Raw genomic sequence first — 16,921 nt, forward strand, 5'->3', positions numbered from 1 at the left:
GCCTCCCAAAGTGCTGGGATTACAGGCGTGTGGCACCATGCCCAGCGATTCTGGTTAGGTTTAAGGGCAATGCTCCTGCAACATTTCCTACAAAGCCCGCCTAGGGAAGGAGGTAGTGAATGCTCTCTGGGCATCTGAGGGCATGGGCAGAAACAAGCTAGCACAGCACAGAACATTTTAAGGACCGATCATTTATCTTAGAAAAAAGTCATGTTAATTCTTATTCCGTTCCATAATATTTGCTTGGATTAAAAAAAAAACCCTCCTACCAAATCGTTGAGTGATGTTGATGTTTAGGAAGATTGGCTCATGGTTCAAAGAGGTGCTGTGCCTGGGATACCACCAACTGGAGCAGCAGAGATCTAGGGGTAGGTGAGGTAGGATGAGGCTGAAACTAGAGGTGGCACAGAGGGCCTTTGACAGGTGACCAGCTCCTGTCAGGATCACTGGCTTTGGTGCAAACAGGAGCCTTGCATAGGCTCATTTTAGCCTCAATTTCCTCATCTTTAAAAGGGAGCTTACAATGGGGATTACTCCCAGAGCTGTTGTGAAGAGTCAGTGGAATGATGTGTGCACAGCGGCCAGCACACAGCGCAGCTCAGTTAATGCAGCATCATTGCTGTTCAGTCACCAAAGCAGAAGTGAGGTTTGCAATCAACTGTGTCTGCCTGTAAACAACCCCGTCATTCCACAGCAAGCTCCCCGACTTCTTCCAACAACTCTGAACGCAGTGGAAACAGGGCTGGACTTGTCTGGAGGGAATTTTGGTCATTGAGCAAGCAGGGTGGGTACACAATGGGTGCTGAACCTCCTTCTGCTTCTGGTTTGGACAGGGGAAGGCATTGAATCAGCATGACCTGGAAGCCTGTTCCTGGGAGGGAGGGTAGTGGGTGCTGGCTGGCATCACTCATGGATGGCAGTGGCTCTAAATGCCCATGGAGAGAGAGACCTGGGAAAATCCACTGGCAAGGCACCAAAGAAAATTAGCCTTTGGGTCATCTGTGGCCCTTGGGCCAGGAGTCACTGAACTCTAGTTCATCGATCAGATGTGTCTGGGACATTGAGCATCTTCTTTCTCTTGAGATTATGTGACTCCTTGATTAACAGTAACAGTCATCATTGTTGAGTATCTTTTTCATTTATGTTAGTGAATATCTATGAGTCCCCACTGGGTGCTGGGTGCTGGGATGACAATGGTGAACCCCACAAATGACCAAGACGGGCCCCCTGCCCTATCACTGTAATTGCTGTCACTGTTATCATGCGAGAGCTTCCTGTCCATACTCTCACTTTCCTGTTGCTTGGTTTCAGGCTCTCTTTTCTCCCCTCATCATCTGCTGGCCCTTGGTCTTTTCATATGCTTGGAGCTGCAGCTGGGGCTGGAGGTGTCGGGGAGAGAAACAGGCACTTGGAGGATGTGTCCCAGAGCCAGGTAGGGATCTTCTTCCTGTTCCTTCCTGTAAGAAATGACAATTAACTCAAATTAATTCAAGCTCAGCCCATACCTGAGGAAGAAACATAAGCTGGTTAGATTCGTTTTCTCGGTCAGCTTCTCAAGCCTGGTATTAATCTGCTCATCAGCTGAGCTCATCAGGAGCAAACACGCTTCTTCAGGAGTTTTCTAACAGGAAAGAAATGCCTCATTAAGTTAAACATATTAACCTGAGAACGGTACTGATGTCAGACAGACTAATGAACGTCATTATAGGGAATGCGCCGCAGTCCTCAGAGGGGCCCCACCCAGCGTCGGGGGACTCCCACAGATTGGCTCAGCTACTGCAGGGTGTGGGATCATCAGAGGAGGGAGGGAGACGGAAAAGGGGCTGTTGCTGGAGCTGTGGTCATGGTCAGCCCTGTGAGCCGTGCCCTGATTAATTCTGGCATCTTTGAATGTCTGCAAAGGGCGTGTGGCCAAAGGAGGAGCCCTGTGTGCCTCACTGTTGGGTCCAAGGGGGTTGGGAGGAAGCTGAGTGCAGCCTCTGAAACAGGAGGGAGGGCAGGAAGGCCGAGTTGGGCATCAGAACCCCGGGTTCTGGTTCCAGGCCTTCTCCACCTAGTGCAGGAGGCTCAGTTCCAGCCCCTCTCCAGCAGGCCGAGCTCTGCGCTGAGCACTTCCAGAAGCATTGAGCTCAGCTACCCTCGCAGAAACCCAGGCAGACAGGGGTTTATGGCCTGGGGTTGTGGATGAGGAAACTGAGGCTCAGAGGAGTTAAGTGACTTGTCCAAGGTCACCCAGCTTGTGGGTGGGAGAGAGACAGGCCCAGGCTGGCCGAACCCTGGTGCATGTTCCCCAGCAAGGCCCCGCTGCCTGCTTCCTGGTGCTCTGTCTTCCAACCCCTCCTCCAGGACTCTGGAGCATCTTTATGGGGGCTGCGTGGGGAAGGGCTGTCTCCGCCACCACGCAGGAGCCAGGGTGTAGACCCCACAGGGCTGAGGAGCAAGGAGGACCCTAACTTACATATGGCTCAGGAAGCCCTGGTCATGAGCCCTGGGCAGTCACTGCTCTAGTTTCCATTTTTTCATCAACAAAATGGGCTGAGTCTCACCACCCCACAGGCTTGCTGTGAGGATCAAATGAGCCGATGAAGGCACAGTTCTCCACGTGCAGCAGGCGCTCAGGACGCGCTGGTCCCTCCTACTCTGCACTGCATCCTGGCAGAGCCAGCCCCAGGATGGTCTCTGGGGAGAGGCTGAACGGGGCCAGGTGGAACATGAAGGAGTGGACCCCCTTCCTGAGGTCTAGCCCAGCAGCTAGGGCAGTCCCAGATCCCACAGTCCACTCACATTCATTGAGGACTCAACCTGTTTCAGGTACCATAGGGCATAGAGATGATCACAGCATGGATTTCATATCCCAGTGGGGAAAATGACCCTGGGGCACTGGAGAGAGTCATAGGATGGGGCCAGAGCCACTGGGAATGGCACAGAGAAAATCTGGATATGGTGTTGAGGAGGTATTGGGGACAAACCAGCCTCCTCCTGGGAACAGACACTGAGGACTCTGTGTAAAGAGCCAGAACTCAGGCCTTGCTGGAAGGCATTTGTTTTCCCTGAAAATGACAAGCATCTGGAAAATTGCTGCTGGCCCCTCTCCCTGATGTGGCTTTCAGGCAGAATGTGTCTCGTGGGTGGGAGGCATGAAGACCCTCTTTCCAGCCTTGCGTGCAGACAGGCAGGCCCTGCCACCCTCTGTCAGTAGAAGCTGGAAGGGCTGGGCACAGCCCTGCGGTGACTACTGCAATTCGGAGCTGGTGTTTCTAGCCCAGCTGCTCATTTCTGAGTGTGGCTTCCCCTCACTGTGAGCACCTGCTCTTTCATAAGGTGGGCGCTAAGCATTCTGGCTGAGCATGGAGGCTGCAATTTCATTGCAGGTTGGAGCACTTTGCATGGAGAATGACACAAATTCTGGGTAAAATGCTACATGGAATTCTGCTGCAGTTACTTATTCAATTCTCCCATCTCCTGGAAGTTCTTTGGTGGCAGTCCTATGTCTATTTTACTTACTGTCTTTTCCTCCATGCCTGACACATGTAATGGCACACTTTAAACATTTGTTGAGTGGTTGAAGAAAGGGGGCACTGAAAGCAGGAAATGGGTTCTAGCAACTCCGTTAAAATTTCTCTAGGCATGGGAGAAACACCGTGGAATTTTAGGAACAAAGATGGTGATAAAGAGAGGAGTGAGAAGAGTCAAGACACTTGACGAAATACACAAGGTAGTTGAACCAAACAGCTTTGTGGTGAGAGAGTTATGGTGTATCAGCCAGCTCCTGCTGCATAACAAACCACCACAAACTTATTGCTTAAAATAACAAGCATTTATTGAACTTAGGAGTGTGTATGCAAGCTGGCTGCTTCTGCTGACCTAGGGTGGGTTTGGTTGATCTTGGATGGATATACTTCTGCATCTGCAATCAGCCTGTGGATTGGCTGGGAGATGACTGGCTTGGCATGGTCTCAGGGGAGTTGACTCATTTCTGTTTCATGTGGTCTTATCTGAGTGCAGGCCAGCCCAGACACATCTTCATGTTCAAAAGAGAGGATGAAAGCACACAAGGTGTTTTGAGGCATAGGTGGATATCTTGACTGTATATTCTCATTTCTGTATTATTGATGCTCTGGCATTTGGGGCCTTGATCCTGGAGACATTGCCCTACCAGGGCTAGTTATTCTCCAGAGATAGCAAAGGACTCTCCTGAGAGCACATCTTTGATATTCAAACCAACCGATCCAGAGCCCACATCCCCAGCCACCTCCTTTATCTAACTCTCCCACACCAAGCCAATATTCTTCCTGCCCTGCCCCAAATCACCCCAGGTCCAGGTAGTGGACATCTAGGGACCACCCTTATGGGACAAAGCTCACTTAAGTTATCCAACCACCCAATTGTAAGCTTACTCAGCAACCTACCCTGCGTTGCCCATTCCTGCCCACGAGAGCCCCAGTGAATGCTCTGGGCATTCGATTTCCTCTTCTCCCCCTATCTCCTGACTTACCCTGCTGCTTCCCTGCATGGAATGCTATGCCTCTTGTTTCCAGGAATCTGTGAGAATAAACATTTTCCTTCATGACAGTCATTTCCATATCTGTGTGTCTTGTAAATACCTGATTAAAACAAATCCTGGGTACATTTTAAAACAGCTGAAAACTGGCACATCACTTTTGTCATATTTTATGAGAAAAAGCAAATCACAGGGCCACCCCAGATTCAAGAGTTGGGGAAATAGACCTCACCGCTTGATAGCAAGAACAGCAAAGTCACCTTTCAAAGGACTGGATAGAGATACAAATTGAGAAGCACAGTGGCTGTTTTCCAATCAATCTTTCACTTTTTAACATCTCATTATTCACTATTTATATTCTTGATAAAAAACTGTCAGGAAGGTAGAAATAGAAGGGAAATTCTGCCAACTGAGAAGAAGCACCTATGAAAAACCAACAGCAAACATTGTACTCAATGGAGAAAGACTGAATATTCTTCCCCTAAAATCAGGAACAAGGCAAGCACATCCGCTCTTCCACTTCTACTAAACATTTTACTTAAAGTTCCAACCAGTGAAATACGGAATGAAAAAGAAATTAAATGCATCCATGTTGGAAAGGAATAAATAAAACCTTTTAGTTAAAGACAACATGATAGAGCTAAGTGAGTTTAGCAAAGTTTCAGGATGTAGGACCTATATAGAACAATCAGTTGTATTTCCAAATACCAATAGCAGAACAATCAGTGATTGAAATGAAAGTTACCATTTAAAACAGCATCACAAAATGTAAAATACTTAGAGATAAATCTGAAAAGATGTGCAAGACCCATACACTCTGAATGAAAAACATTACTGAGATAAAGAAGATCCAAATGAATGGAGAAATAAATATTATCCATGGGCCACATGATTTAATATTGATAAAATGGTCAATTCTCCCCAAATTGATAACTAGGTTCAAGTCAATCCCAACCAAAAGTACAAGAGGCTTTTGATTTACCAGCTGAAATTTACAAACTCATAAAAAATTCATATGGAAATGCAAAAGACCTAGCATAGCAAAATAGAAAACTTTGAAAAAGAGAAAAAAATATAGTTGGCATCATCAAAACAAGGCGGTGTTGGCATAAATGTGAACAAAAAGATTTATATGGAACAGAATAGAGTGTTCAGAAATAGACCCATTCATATAAGAACAACTGATTTCTGACAAAAGTGCAAAGGCCATTTGCGGAGAGCTTTTCCAACAAATGATGCTGGCACAATTGGATGTTCATATGCAAAAAAGGAGAGCGTTCATTCATACCTTACACAATATAAAAATTTAAAGTGGATCATAGACTTAAAAATAAATCCTAAAATTATAAAACTTAAGAAGAAAACAGAGGAAAAAATCTTTGTTACCTTGGATTAGTCAAGGATTTCTCAAATATAACACCAAAAGCATGACTCATAAGACATTGATAAATTTGGTTTTATAAAAATTAAAAATGTTTTTTGAAAGACACTGCTAAGACAATTAAAATACAAGCCATAGATTGGGAGAATATTCTCAAAGCATATATCTGATAAAATATTTACATCTAGGGCATGTAAATAACTCCCAAAACAAGCCACCAATAAAAAACAGGCAAAGGATTCACATATCAAGAAGACATGTGAACGTAAAGATGTCCAACATGAAGATGCTGGACATCTTTAGTCATTAGGAAAACATACATTAAGAACCACAATGAGATACCACTACACATCTGAGGTATCAGAATGGCTAAAATTAAAAAGATCATACCAAGTTCTGTCCAGGATGTGGAGGAACTGGTACTCTCATGAACTGCTGGTGGGAGGGTAAAATGGTCCAACAACTTTAGAAGACAGTTTGACAATTTTTTTTTTATTATGCTTTAAGTTCTGGGTTACATGTGCAGAACGTGCAATTTTGTTATATAGGTATACATGTGCCCTGGTGGTTTGCTGCACCCATCAATCCGTCACCTACATTAGGTATTTCTCCTAATGCTATCCCTCCCCTATCCGCCACCCCTGACAGGCCCTGGTGTGTGATGTTCCCCTCTCTGTGTCCATGTGTTCTCATTGTTCAACTGCCACTTATGAGTGAGAACACGCAGTGTTTGGTTTTCTGATCTTGTGATTGTTTGCTGAGAATGATGGTTTCCAGCTTCATCCATGTCCCTGCAAAGGACATGAACACACCCTTTTTTATGGCTGCATAGTATTCCATGGTGTATATGTGCCACATTTTCTTAATCCAGTCTATCATTGATGGACATTTGGGTTGGCTCCAAGTCTTTGCTATTGTGAATAGTGCTGCAGTAAATATATGTGTGTGTTTGTCTTTATCTCGATGTGGTGATGGTTTCAAGGATGTATATTTACATCAAAACATAGCCAATTGTACATTTTAAATACATGGGGTTTATTTCATGTCAGTTGTATCTTAATAAAGTGGTTAAAAAATTCTTATTCAGATCTCCTGCTACAGTTCAGGCGGAACATTTCTGACAGGAATCAGGTGAACAGGTTGGGGAATAAAGGAGAATTTACCCAATTGTCCATGACCAACCCCATGTCTGGGCAGATGGCTCCTCATTCAGGAAGGGTCAACAAAAAAACAAAAACAAAAGCAAAACAAAACAAAACAAAAAACAAAAGAGGGAAACTTGAGCCAGGGCCCTGCTGGATCCTTGGGACAGAGAGAGGGCTCAGTTGGGCCCTGCCCTGGGCAGACCTTCCCTGGGAAGTTGCATCAGAGAGCTCAAAAGAGAGAGAGAAGCTTGGTTGGAGGGGCTGTTTAATGAGGAATGCCAAAGGAGTGGGATTGTAGAACCTGGGGACAGAAAATCCCTGGAAGGATGAGAATTATCTTCAAATACATGTGCTGCCATGTGGAATATGAAGTAGATGCCCTCAATGTGGCCTGAAGGAAGGACTTTCCAAGTCAAAGCTGTCCTGAGATGTCTTGAGAGGTAGTGAGCTTCCCATCCTTAGGGGTATACAACCAGGAGGTGAGACAGGCATAGTAGTGAAGTGCTAAGGCTTTGGCATCAGACAGATCTGGATTTGAATTGCAACTTGGGTGGTTCAGTGCAAAGGACTTCCCCTCTCTGAGTCTCAGTTTCCTCATCTGTAAAGTGGGGTCATAGTACCATTTAACCCACTGGATTATTAGGAGGCCTAAACGAAGTCAACTCCATCATTTATCTCGGATGATTAGTGGTGTGTCCTTCCCTCTCCTTGCTCTCCCCCAGTCCCTTCCTCCGGAGATGATCTCTGTTGAGTCACAATCTCCCCCCTGGCCTTCTTTGTGCAGTGAGCTGTGGCATTGAGGTGGCATTCTGGGTTTCCTGCTCGCGCTGCCCACACGCGTATGAGGATGACTGACTCACCCTTCCATGGGCTCCTGGATGCACAGATTCAGTCTTTCTGAGGAACAGAGACCCCTTTCCAGGAGTGATCTGGGAGCTCCTCCTCCATCCATTGCACAGGGCTGGCTAGCTGCCCTCTTGATGATCTTCCCTGGTCTCAGAAAATGAACTTTAATTTTAGGCAGAGAAAAAGAAAAAGCTCATAACCTGTATGTTGTAAATGTCGCTCCAGGGCTCCCGGCAGAGTGCCCAGTCAGTTTGATCATTTCTTGGGCTTACTCAAAGGCCCCCTCTGTGAGTGATTGGCCACTTAGCACTTGTTAATGGATCTAACTTCCACAGACTTTTTAGTGTTTTCTTGGAATTGATCTTTCCGTGAAAAGTATGCTTTGGAGATGTGAAATAACCATCACAGAGCCTTAAATGAGTTACACTTTATCAAACAAAGAAAAACAATGCACTTGAAACAGGTGCTGCAAGGGAAATGGAGGGCTGTCTCACAGAAGACCGGGAGGGCAAGTGGCCATGTGTTGTGTGCCTCTGCACTCCTGCCTTGCAACAAGTGCCTGCACTTGCGTTCTCCAGGGGGCTGTTACGTTCTGGATCATTTTCTCTGCTGTGTGATGTGGCATTTGCTGCTCCTATCCTTACCCCAGCTCTGCTGTTCTCTGGGTCATTCTCCCACTGCTGGGGGTGGGGGTGTGATGGCTTTGCGTGGTGAAGGGAGGTGGAGAGGGGTCCCACACTCTCCTTTAATTACTCCCCCTCCTCTGCTTCCCCATCCTGGGCCATATGTGGAGAAATGAGCTCCAGAGACCCTGGGCAAAAGGGGGTGCAGAGGCCCCAATCTTCACCAGCGATTAGAGAAGGGAGACGAGGCCCCTGCTCACCCATTCCCCACACAAGGGGCCTGAGGAGGGGGCTCAGTTCATCTAAGTGCCCAGTTGTCAAATGTTTACCGAGAGCCAGCCTGTGCCTGGCTCTGAGCCGGGACTGCAGATTCAGGAAGGGCTGGTGCCCAGGGTACAGGGGCAAGGTACCCACGGGATCTGCTACTGTCTCTAAGAACAAAGTTGTGCATGGGGCACTCGGGTCTTAGAACCAGCAAACTTGACCCTCCCATGACCAACACAACACAGCCCCGCCCGAGACAAGCGGGTCCCCACGCTGCTTCCAGGTCATGTGGGTCCGTCATAGCCATGGCCCCCCTCAGCCCAACTCAACCCTGCAGGTGGAGATTGGGCTCAGGTGGGGCTTCTGTGCCATGACCCCGCCATCAGCTCTGCTCTGTGGTCAGTGTGGGCTTACTGAACCCTGTCCATGTGGAGAATCAAGTGGGCAGATGAGAGTTGGAACCCAGTGGAGGGGTAGGGGCAGAGGCAAGGCTGGTGTGGCATGAAGGTTAGGAACGCAGCTGAGGACAGAGGAGACAGCTATAGAAAACTAATGTCACATATTCTGGAGCATCAGAGCTGGATGACCTCGACATACACCCCAGTGGGCGGCTTGACAGGCAGGAGCACAGTGGGGAGACCCGAGACCTGCTGGCATCTGAGCATCAAGGCGGTGCTGGGGTGGAAGGTGAGGGCCCAGCAGTGAGTGCAGGTGGCAGCTGTGACATAGAGTCACATGGGCCAGCTTTGTAGTGAGGAGGAGAGAGACCTCCCCCATGGAAGGGGCTGGGGTCTCAGGGTGACCCACAGGGGCTCTGGAAAGGGCTGCAGTGCCAGGCAGTAAAACCAGGTGGGCAGCAGCTGTATGTTGAGGGGTGAGGAGTGGGTCCAGAGAAGGGTGTTTGGTTTCAGGTGTAGCCTGGGCTCAGGGCTCCCCGCTGGCGGCTGCATTCCCAGCCTGGGCTGCACAGTGAATTCCAGAGCCTGCCAGTGGCAGGAAGTGAGCTGCTCATAGACTTCCTGCAGTGGCCTAGGTCTGGATCAGAGAGAGACAGAGATGGAGATGGAGCCCTGTTTATGGCTCATCTTCCTGAAGCTGGTGCGTTGGAGCCACGATCTCACTGAATCGTCCCAACCTTCCTCAGGGAAAAGAGGTGGAACTGTGCTGGGCAAGGCAGAGGCCCAGGGAGGCAGCCCAACAAGTCAGCATGGAGAAGGAGGACCTGGGGAAGGGAGGCTGAGCCTCCAGGGCTCCTGGGACCTGGACACACCTGCCCTGGGCTCTCGTGCAAGGCCAGCTCTGATGCAGGGGGGTTGGATGGGCTCTGAGAGCTGCTGCTGCTGGTGCGCAGCCCACATATTGAGCAGCAGGGGCTGAGAGAGGTCATCTTTTATTTCACAGCATTTATTTCACAAGCATTTCTTGAGGGCTCACTATGTGGGGGGTGCTGGGATACAGTGGGGTGCAAGACAGGCTTGGCCCTGCCCCATGGAGCTCGTATTCTAGCTGAGTGCACAGACAGGAGCAAGCCAATGGTCATACTGGTGTGTGTCTCTCTCTCTCTGTCTCTGTGTGTGTGTGTGTGTATATACATACATATATAAAATTATATATATATATAATTTTAGTTTTTTTTTTGCAGTTTATGGAGGGGAAACTGAGAAAGGGAAAGGAGGTATTTTTTTCCACTTTCCAGATGAGAAAGCTGGGACTCAGAGAGGTTAAGTAACTTGCCTGAATGACACAGACGGTGAGTGGCAGAGAAGAGTGCAGACCTGTGAGTAAGCACAGTGCTTCCCGGGCTCCACTGCCACAAGGGTGGCTGTTACACCCCACTGTCTGCCCCAGGTGATGCTACAGAGAGAGCCTTTATGTGAAGTGATCTCTCCTCACTGCTGAACTCTTCTTTCCAGGGTGTGTGGGAAGGGGGAAGAGGGAGGAGAAGGGGGCAGGTCTAGTTGGGTGCGGATCTGGGGCTGGTCTTAGGGGTGCATCTTGCAGGGCCAGGGTCAGAGAACAGTTTTCATCCAGGGCAGGCCATGGCACTGGGCCTGGAAGGTTGCTCCACAGTGGAACCCAAGGGGAAGCTGAGACCCAGGCCCAGGAAGGCTGAGTCCCTCAGTCAAGGCAGAGAGATGTATGTGGGGAGCAGTGCCTGGTTAGGGGCAGGGGTCCTGAGAGATGCCTGAGCACCCCATTGTGTCCCATGGTGTCCTCTGGGACTGGCAGTACCCAGGCCAGGCTGGGTGTGGCTGGGTCTCCTAGCTAAAGGAGGCCATGGTGCCGCCTCTCTCCTGCACTCTGGAGCTGCTATTGGCTGTCTGCTGATCCCTCTGTCCCTGATCCACTCCATTCTTGGCTGTTAGCTTTCTGTGTGGCACTCTCCAGGGCACTGGATTTACCTCTTTTCTCTGTGCAACGCTGGTGTCACACTCCTCTGCCTGCCACTATGCTGATCCCAGCACCTGCAGGACAGGGAGATGCACCATGTTAGGGAGGCTGTTCAGCCCTGACGGAGGCTAAGGCGTGTTACTGCAGGGGTTGCAGCGGGCTCTCCATTTGCATCCAGGGAGGCAGGACACCTTCATTTATCAGCAGCGGGTCTTTTGTGTTTATCTCCTGGATTGAGTCTCTTCTTGAAGATAATAATTAAAGCAGGCACATTAAGGAAGTAACAGCCCTGGGGGCCTCTGAGGGGGACCAGGATGGGGGTACGATGTCGACCAAGGATGAGGGGCTTGGCTACCAGTGCAGGAGATGCTGAGGAACAGAGGCCTCTGTGAGTCCAAAAGCTTCCTTCACTACAGGGAGAAGGGGGCCCCAGTCTGTGCTTTCCATTGAGAGGTGTTGAAGGGAGGGTAGTGGGGGGCAGGGGAGGGCGCCCTGGAGGAGAAGTCAGGCCCACAGGGCTTCCAGTCCTGGCTCCACCACTTCCCTGCTGTGTGACTGTGGACAAGTTGCCTCCCCTCTCTGGGCCCTTTCCTCATCTGTAGGTGGGGATGGTGCTTCCATCAGCCCCTTCCTCCCAGGGTGATTGTGGGGATGAGCCCTCCAAGTGGCACAAATGGACACCAGGAGCACGTGGCAGTGAGTGCAGTGGTTGGGGCAGGGACTGGAGGCAGTCACCGGCCTGGGATTTAGACCCAAGCTGTGAGCTCAGGAAAGTTCCTCAACTTCTCAAGGTCTTGGCTCCCTCAGCTGAGAAATGGGTTACTACCAGTTCCTTCCTTAGTGAGTGGTCATGACGATTACTGATGTGGTGCAGCACTCTCACTACACACACGCATGCACGTGCACACACACACACACACACACACACACACACACACACCCCTGGCCAACAGGGGGTGGCCTCCCAGGCTTTCCCACGGGTGCGAACCCAGGGTGCATCTGTGCTCCTTCTCTCCATAGACCCCGGCCTGACCCCAGCTGCCAGTCCACAGAGCCCAGTCCCACTCTGCTTTGCTCTCTTTGCTGTGCCTACTAAAATAGTTTACTCCCCTTTCTCGACCGTGGCCCAGGGAAGGGAGGATGCTTGCGCCTGGAGTCTGGACTACATTTTCTGAAAGAAAGATTGTTATTCATGGTTATTAGCAGTACAAGCCATTAGAGCTTTTTGACTGACTAACCCCAGTCTACAGCAGAGTTTCATGAAAAGATATATCCTGAATTGCAAAGATCTTTAGGAACACAACACTCCTAAATTATTGGAGAAGCAATGCATATCCATCGTGTACCTCCTGAGTGTTAGGCAGGCTAAGGTCTTTGCGTATGTTAATGCACTTTCCACAGTGACCCAGTGAGATTGGTGGTGTTTAGTGTTATTTATGGTTTTTCTCCCCTGGCATATATTTATTTCATTATTTAAATTAATACTTTTATTCTGAGATAATTGTAGAGTTCTATGAAGTTGTACGAGAGACACAGAGGTCATTCCCTGCTCTTCCCCACTAAGTATAATGATCAGCTCTGGAGGTAACACAAGAGACTCCCAGAGGAGCACTCAGAAAAGAGGAATGTGACTGGTTAAGGACCCCAGGACTGGAGGAACAGTATAGTAGCGGGCATCTCAGACCCCTTCACCCACCCAGGAGACCCAGGCCCAGAGTTTCTCTACTGCTCCCAACAGAAGGTGGCCCAAGTAGGCTTCTTCCTCCCCACTGGATTTAATGAAAGCTCCACCCATGACACCAGCAAGGAAGCACCCAGCTCAGGAAGTCCTCCTCATCCCTGTGGGAGAATTTAAAAGTTTAATTTATAAAAAGAAAAGGAGGAAAACAGAGAGATTTTGTGTACCCTTGACCCAGTTTCCACCCATGGTAACATCTTGTAAAACTATAGGACAAATTACAACCAGGATACTGACCTTGGTACAACCCACCCATCTTACTCAGATTTCCAGTTTTTACTTGTATTTTGTGTGCGTGTGTGTGTGTGTATTTAGCGCTATACAATTTAACACCTGTGTTGGTTTGGTTATCTTCCACGATAGTCAAGATTCAGAATAGTTCCATCATCAATATACCCTCCTATTGTGCCTTTAAAATCACCCCTCCCCACCCCCACTGCCCGCTTCTCCCCTATTCTAAGCCTTGGCAGCCTGTTCTCCATTTCAAACCCTGAGCAGACAAGGTATGGGAAGGGCAGTCCAGACCAGGGTAAGGTCACACGCAAGGTGTGGGCCACAAAAAGGCCCAGGTAATGGATGGTGAAGAGAAGGGGCTGGACTCCCAGCCTCAAGGAGCTTTACAGAAAAGCTACCAACTTAGGAGCAAGGAAGAGAAATCAGCATGGGTACTGTACAGACGCATTTCATTAGGGACTTCATCTCACTCTCACCGTCCCCCTTGAGCTCTCATCTTTGGCAATCCAGAGGTGAGGTTGCTTGCTTGCATTCCTCTCACTACAGCAGCTGCACTGACTTTTGCTTGTGGGTCACTCCTTTCCCTACTCTGTCTGTGAGGCTGCACCTGTAGCTCAGCAGTGGGCTGTGGGACTAACGCTTAAACTAACCTGTGCAATATATCTTTCTAGCACAGCCATCAGCTCAGGGAGGGCAATGATCCAGGGAACCACCGAGATCCAATGGACATTTTTCAGGCCTCCTGCAGAAGACGCTCTTGCTCTTCACCACTTGGAAGTTCATGGTCCACAGCTGTTGCCATCACCTTAGATGCAGCCTAAGAATGAAGACAATGTGTGAAGGAGAAATGGAGAAAAGCTAGGTCTTGGCAACATCACCAAGAGGCCCCTTCAAGCCATTTCTGGAGTCAACTTTTTCAGAAAGTTTCCATTACATGAATCAATGGAGTTCCTTTGGCTTAAACCAGTTTGGGCTGAGTTTTCTGACATGTGCAACAGAGAAGAAACTTAACTGGTTCACAGACCCACAAAAATCTGCAAAGCAGAAAAAGGGCTTTGCAGAAGGATGCAGGGGCCCCCTCAGATCCCAAATATAGAAAGTTCAGCCAGGTGTCCTGGGGTCTAGGAGTCACCCAACAGTGACCCTTCCCATTTCTCTCTGGGTCTTCCTCTGTCTCCCATACTGGATCTGTGGATAATCCAGGTCTATTTCCTTTTGGTCTTCTTCCCCCTCACTGTAGACTGGCTTCTCTGCTCACTTCCGATCCAGCATGGCCTCACCAAGATGATTGCCTCTAACCCACAGCCACGTGCTCTTCCAGCTGGCCCCCACAGCTTCGTGACTGTCTCTATGTTCCGAATGGAGATTCTCTGGAGAGAAAATTGGATAATGTGGCCAGTGTGGGTCAGGTGTCCTCAATACTGTATAAGCTAAGGGTTGGTAGGTGGGTGAGGAGCAACTTAGCAGGGTTGTAGGCTGAGCAGGGAGGCAATGGAGAAAATAAACAGGAGAAAACAATCAATATTTCTAAAAAGATGAGAATTGTAGTTTGTATTCTTTAGATAAGGAAAGTGAAGCTCAAAGACGTTCAAGATCCTACAGCAAACAAGCTGCGGCATCATGACTTACATCCGAGGGTCAGCTGGACTCCAACCTCCAACACCCACTGCCCAGCCCCCTTGCCTTTTTTTCTCTTCTTCCCATCCACTCCTTTCACCTGCCACTTCCTGCGGGGCCAATCCAGGCAGGAAATGGGGAGAAACTGACCTCCCTGGAGGAGAGTTCATAGGAGCAGCTTTCTGGGCTTACAGCGGTGAAGATCCATCTTTGGCTCCTCAGTAGAGGGGACATTTGCAGATTCTCACAGAGCCATGCACCTGAAGCAGAGCTTTCCTTTCAGAGAAGGCCTGAGGAAGTCAGCACTGAAGAATCTACGCTTCATTATTCACACAAGTAAGAGTTTAATTAAAATTTCATGACGGTCATTGTGTTTTACCCGAATGGCTAACTGATGGCCTTGCATTTCTGCCTGGGTCCAGCAGTCCCACCACTGAGTTCTTCATCTGAAATCTTTCCACCTCCACAAATCATTTTGGATAACAAGCCATTTTGTAATTGCCACAAAGTTCAAAGTGGAGCAGACTTCTCTGCAGACACAATGCCCCAGTGACTGTCGCTTGAACAAGTCCCTCTTGGGAGCAGGGCTGGGGTTTCACCCAGTGTCTGCCGGCCAGATAATCATGCCCTCCTTTTCCAGGAGACAATCTCAGACATTTGCTTGGTGGGATCAGTGGGATGATTTCAGGTAAACATTGGTCAGGAAGGATTTGAAGGGGAGATTCCAGGAGGCTGTCCCTGGAGGTTACTGGAAACCATGTCTCTGCAGACAGGGGCAGTGGGAAGGAGGGAGGTATGTGTGTTCCCTTCTCCTCTGACCCTTCAGGTTCCTTAGGGGCATGTGGGTGACCTTGGGGCAGTGGCTTCACCTCTCAATGCCTCAGTTTCCCCACCTGGGAGGCAGAGCAGATGAATCCTCCTGACAGGGTGGTTGTGAGGGCCACGGGGGTGGGCCTATGGGCAGCTCTCAGTATGGTTCCTGGCAGCAGGTGTTCAAATCTGTCAGTGTCGGTGACTTGAGTTGGGTGCACAGATGACTGTTGACTGGGGTGAGGTGTGGTACCCTGGCTTCCAGCCCTCACCTGTCCCACTACTGACCATCTGAGGAGGCCCCGGGCACCCCTGGGCAGCAGGAGAGTGGGTCGACATTGAGATGGCCCAGAGGTGACACTCAGAGATGTGGGCAAGGGGCCTTCCTGCCCAAACGACAAGATAGTTGTGGGGCAACCCCCGCCACCGCTGATGGGAAGGAACACTCAGCATTTATAGAGGCAGGGGCAAGTGAGTGATGATCAGAGGGTCAGGCCAGATGTTCCAGCAACAAAGCAGACAGACCACTGTGTGGCTTCAGGCAGGCTGAGCTCTACCCACCATGGGGGCTGAGGGCAGGTGAGGAGGGTGGATCCTGACTAGGGATGAAGGGAGCATCCCTAAGATGGCAGAAAAGGGACAGAGCCTGAGCTCAGAGCCCAGGTCAGGTCCTGGGAATGAGAGTGCAGCAGCTGCTGCAATTCCCTTCGGTATCTGCATTCGCTATTGTAGGACTCGCTGATGGAAGAACTGAGCAGACTTGCTGGTAACTGGAGATGTTCAGTGTGGTGTGGACTTTGGGAGACAGGAAGGATGCTATGGGAGGGGCTGCTTAGGACTGACTCTATTGAGCATCATAAAGAAGGGAAGGAGAACCCATGGGGGTTCTTGGGGAGGACATAGATCTGTCTTTGGAGGATAAGACAGCAAAGTTAAAGGAACAACTGGACTCAATTGGGAGATCTGGGTTCTGAGCCCAACTCTCTCTCTAAACAACTGTGTGACCTGGGGCAAGTCACTTGCCCTCTCTGGACTTAATCTGCACATCTACAGAACAAAATCACTTCTAAAACCCCTCCCCTGATTAGGCCTTGACTCTACAGGGTTCTGTATGATGCCTGCTGTACCAACCCCCCACCCCACCCAATTCTCTTAAAATCCACCTAGTGGCTTCCCAGCACAAGCTGCCTTCTTCCAGGAGGCAAGTAAGCACCAGGAACCCACAGTGCTGACTCGGCAGCCCTCCAGGTCACTGTGTGATGCCGGGTCTGGTGGTGACAGGGCTGCTCGGTTCATTAGAGACTAGGGCTAATGTGTCCTCATCCTTGGAGGTGCCATTACTGGGTAGTTTTGGCAGCCTTCTCTGTGGGA

At 49.4% G+C, this 16,921-nt stretch overlaps 3 annotated features.

Moving 5' to 3' along the window:
- Window positions 2,032–2,532: an enhancer, noted in NCBI's record as "H3K4me1 hESC enhancer chr1:30058109-30058609 (GRCh37/hg19 assembly coordinates)". NCBI's record gives its function as "activates a minimal SCP1, AML or CMV promoter by ChIP-STARR-seq in primed H9 embryonic stem cells {active_cell/tissue: H9 hESC(primed)}" and the evidence as "EXISTENCE:reporter gene assay evidence [ECO:0000049][PMID:30033119]".
- Window positions 8,567–9,398: an enhancer, noted in NCBI's record as "H3K4me1 hESC enhancer chr1:30064644-30065475 (GRCh37/hg19 assembly coordinates)". NCBI's record gives its function as "activates a minimal SCP1, AML or CMV promoter by ChIP-STARR-seq in naive H9 embryonic stem cells {active_cell/tissue: H9 hESC(naive)}" and the evidence as "EXISTENCE:reporter gene assay evidence [ECO:0000049][PMID:30033119]".
- Window positions 9,399–10,229: an enhancer, noted in NCBI's record as "H3K4me1 hESC enhancer chr1:30065476-30066306 (GRCh37/hg19 assembly coordinates)". NCBI's record gives its function as "activates a minimal SCP1, AML or CMV promoter by ChIP-STARR-seq in naive H9 embryonic stem cells {active_cell/tissue: H9 hESC(naive)}" and the evidence as "EXISTENCE:reporter gene assay evidence [ECO:0000049][PMID:30033119]".

The sequence above is a fragment of the Homo sapiens genome, chromosome 1 (genome assembly GCF_000001405.40).
Source record: "Homo sapiens chromosome 1, GRCh38.p14 Primary Assembly".
NCBI lineage: Eukaryota > Metazoa > Chordata > Mammalia > Primates > Hominidae > Homo > Homo sapiens.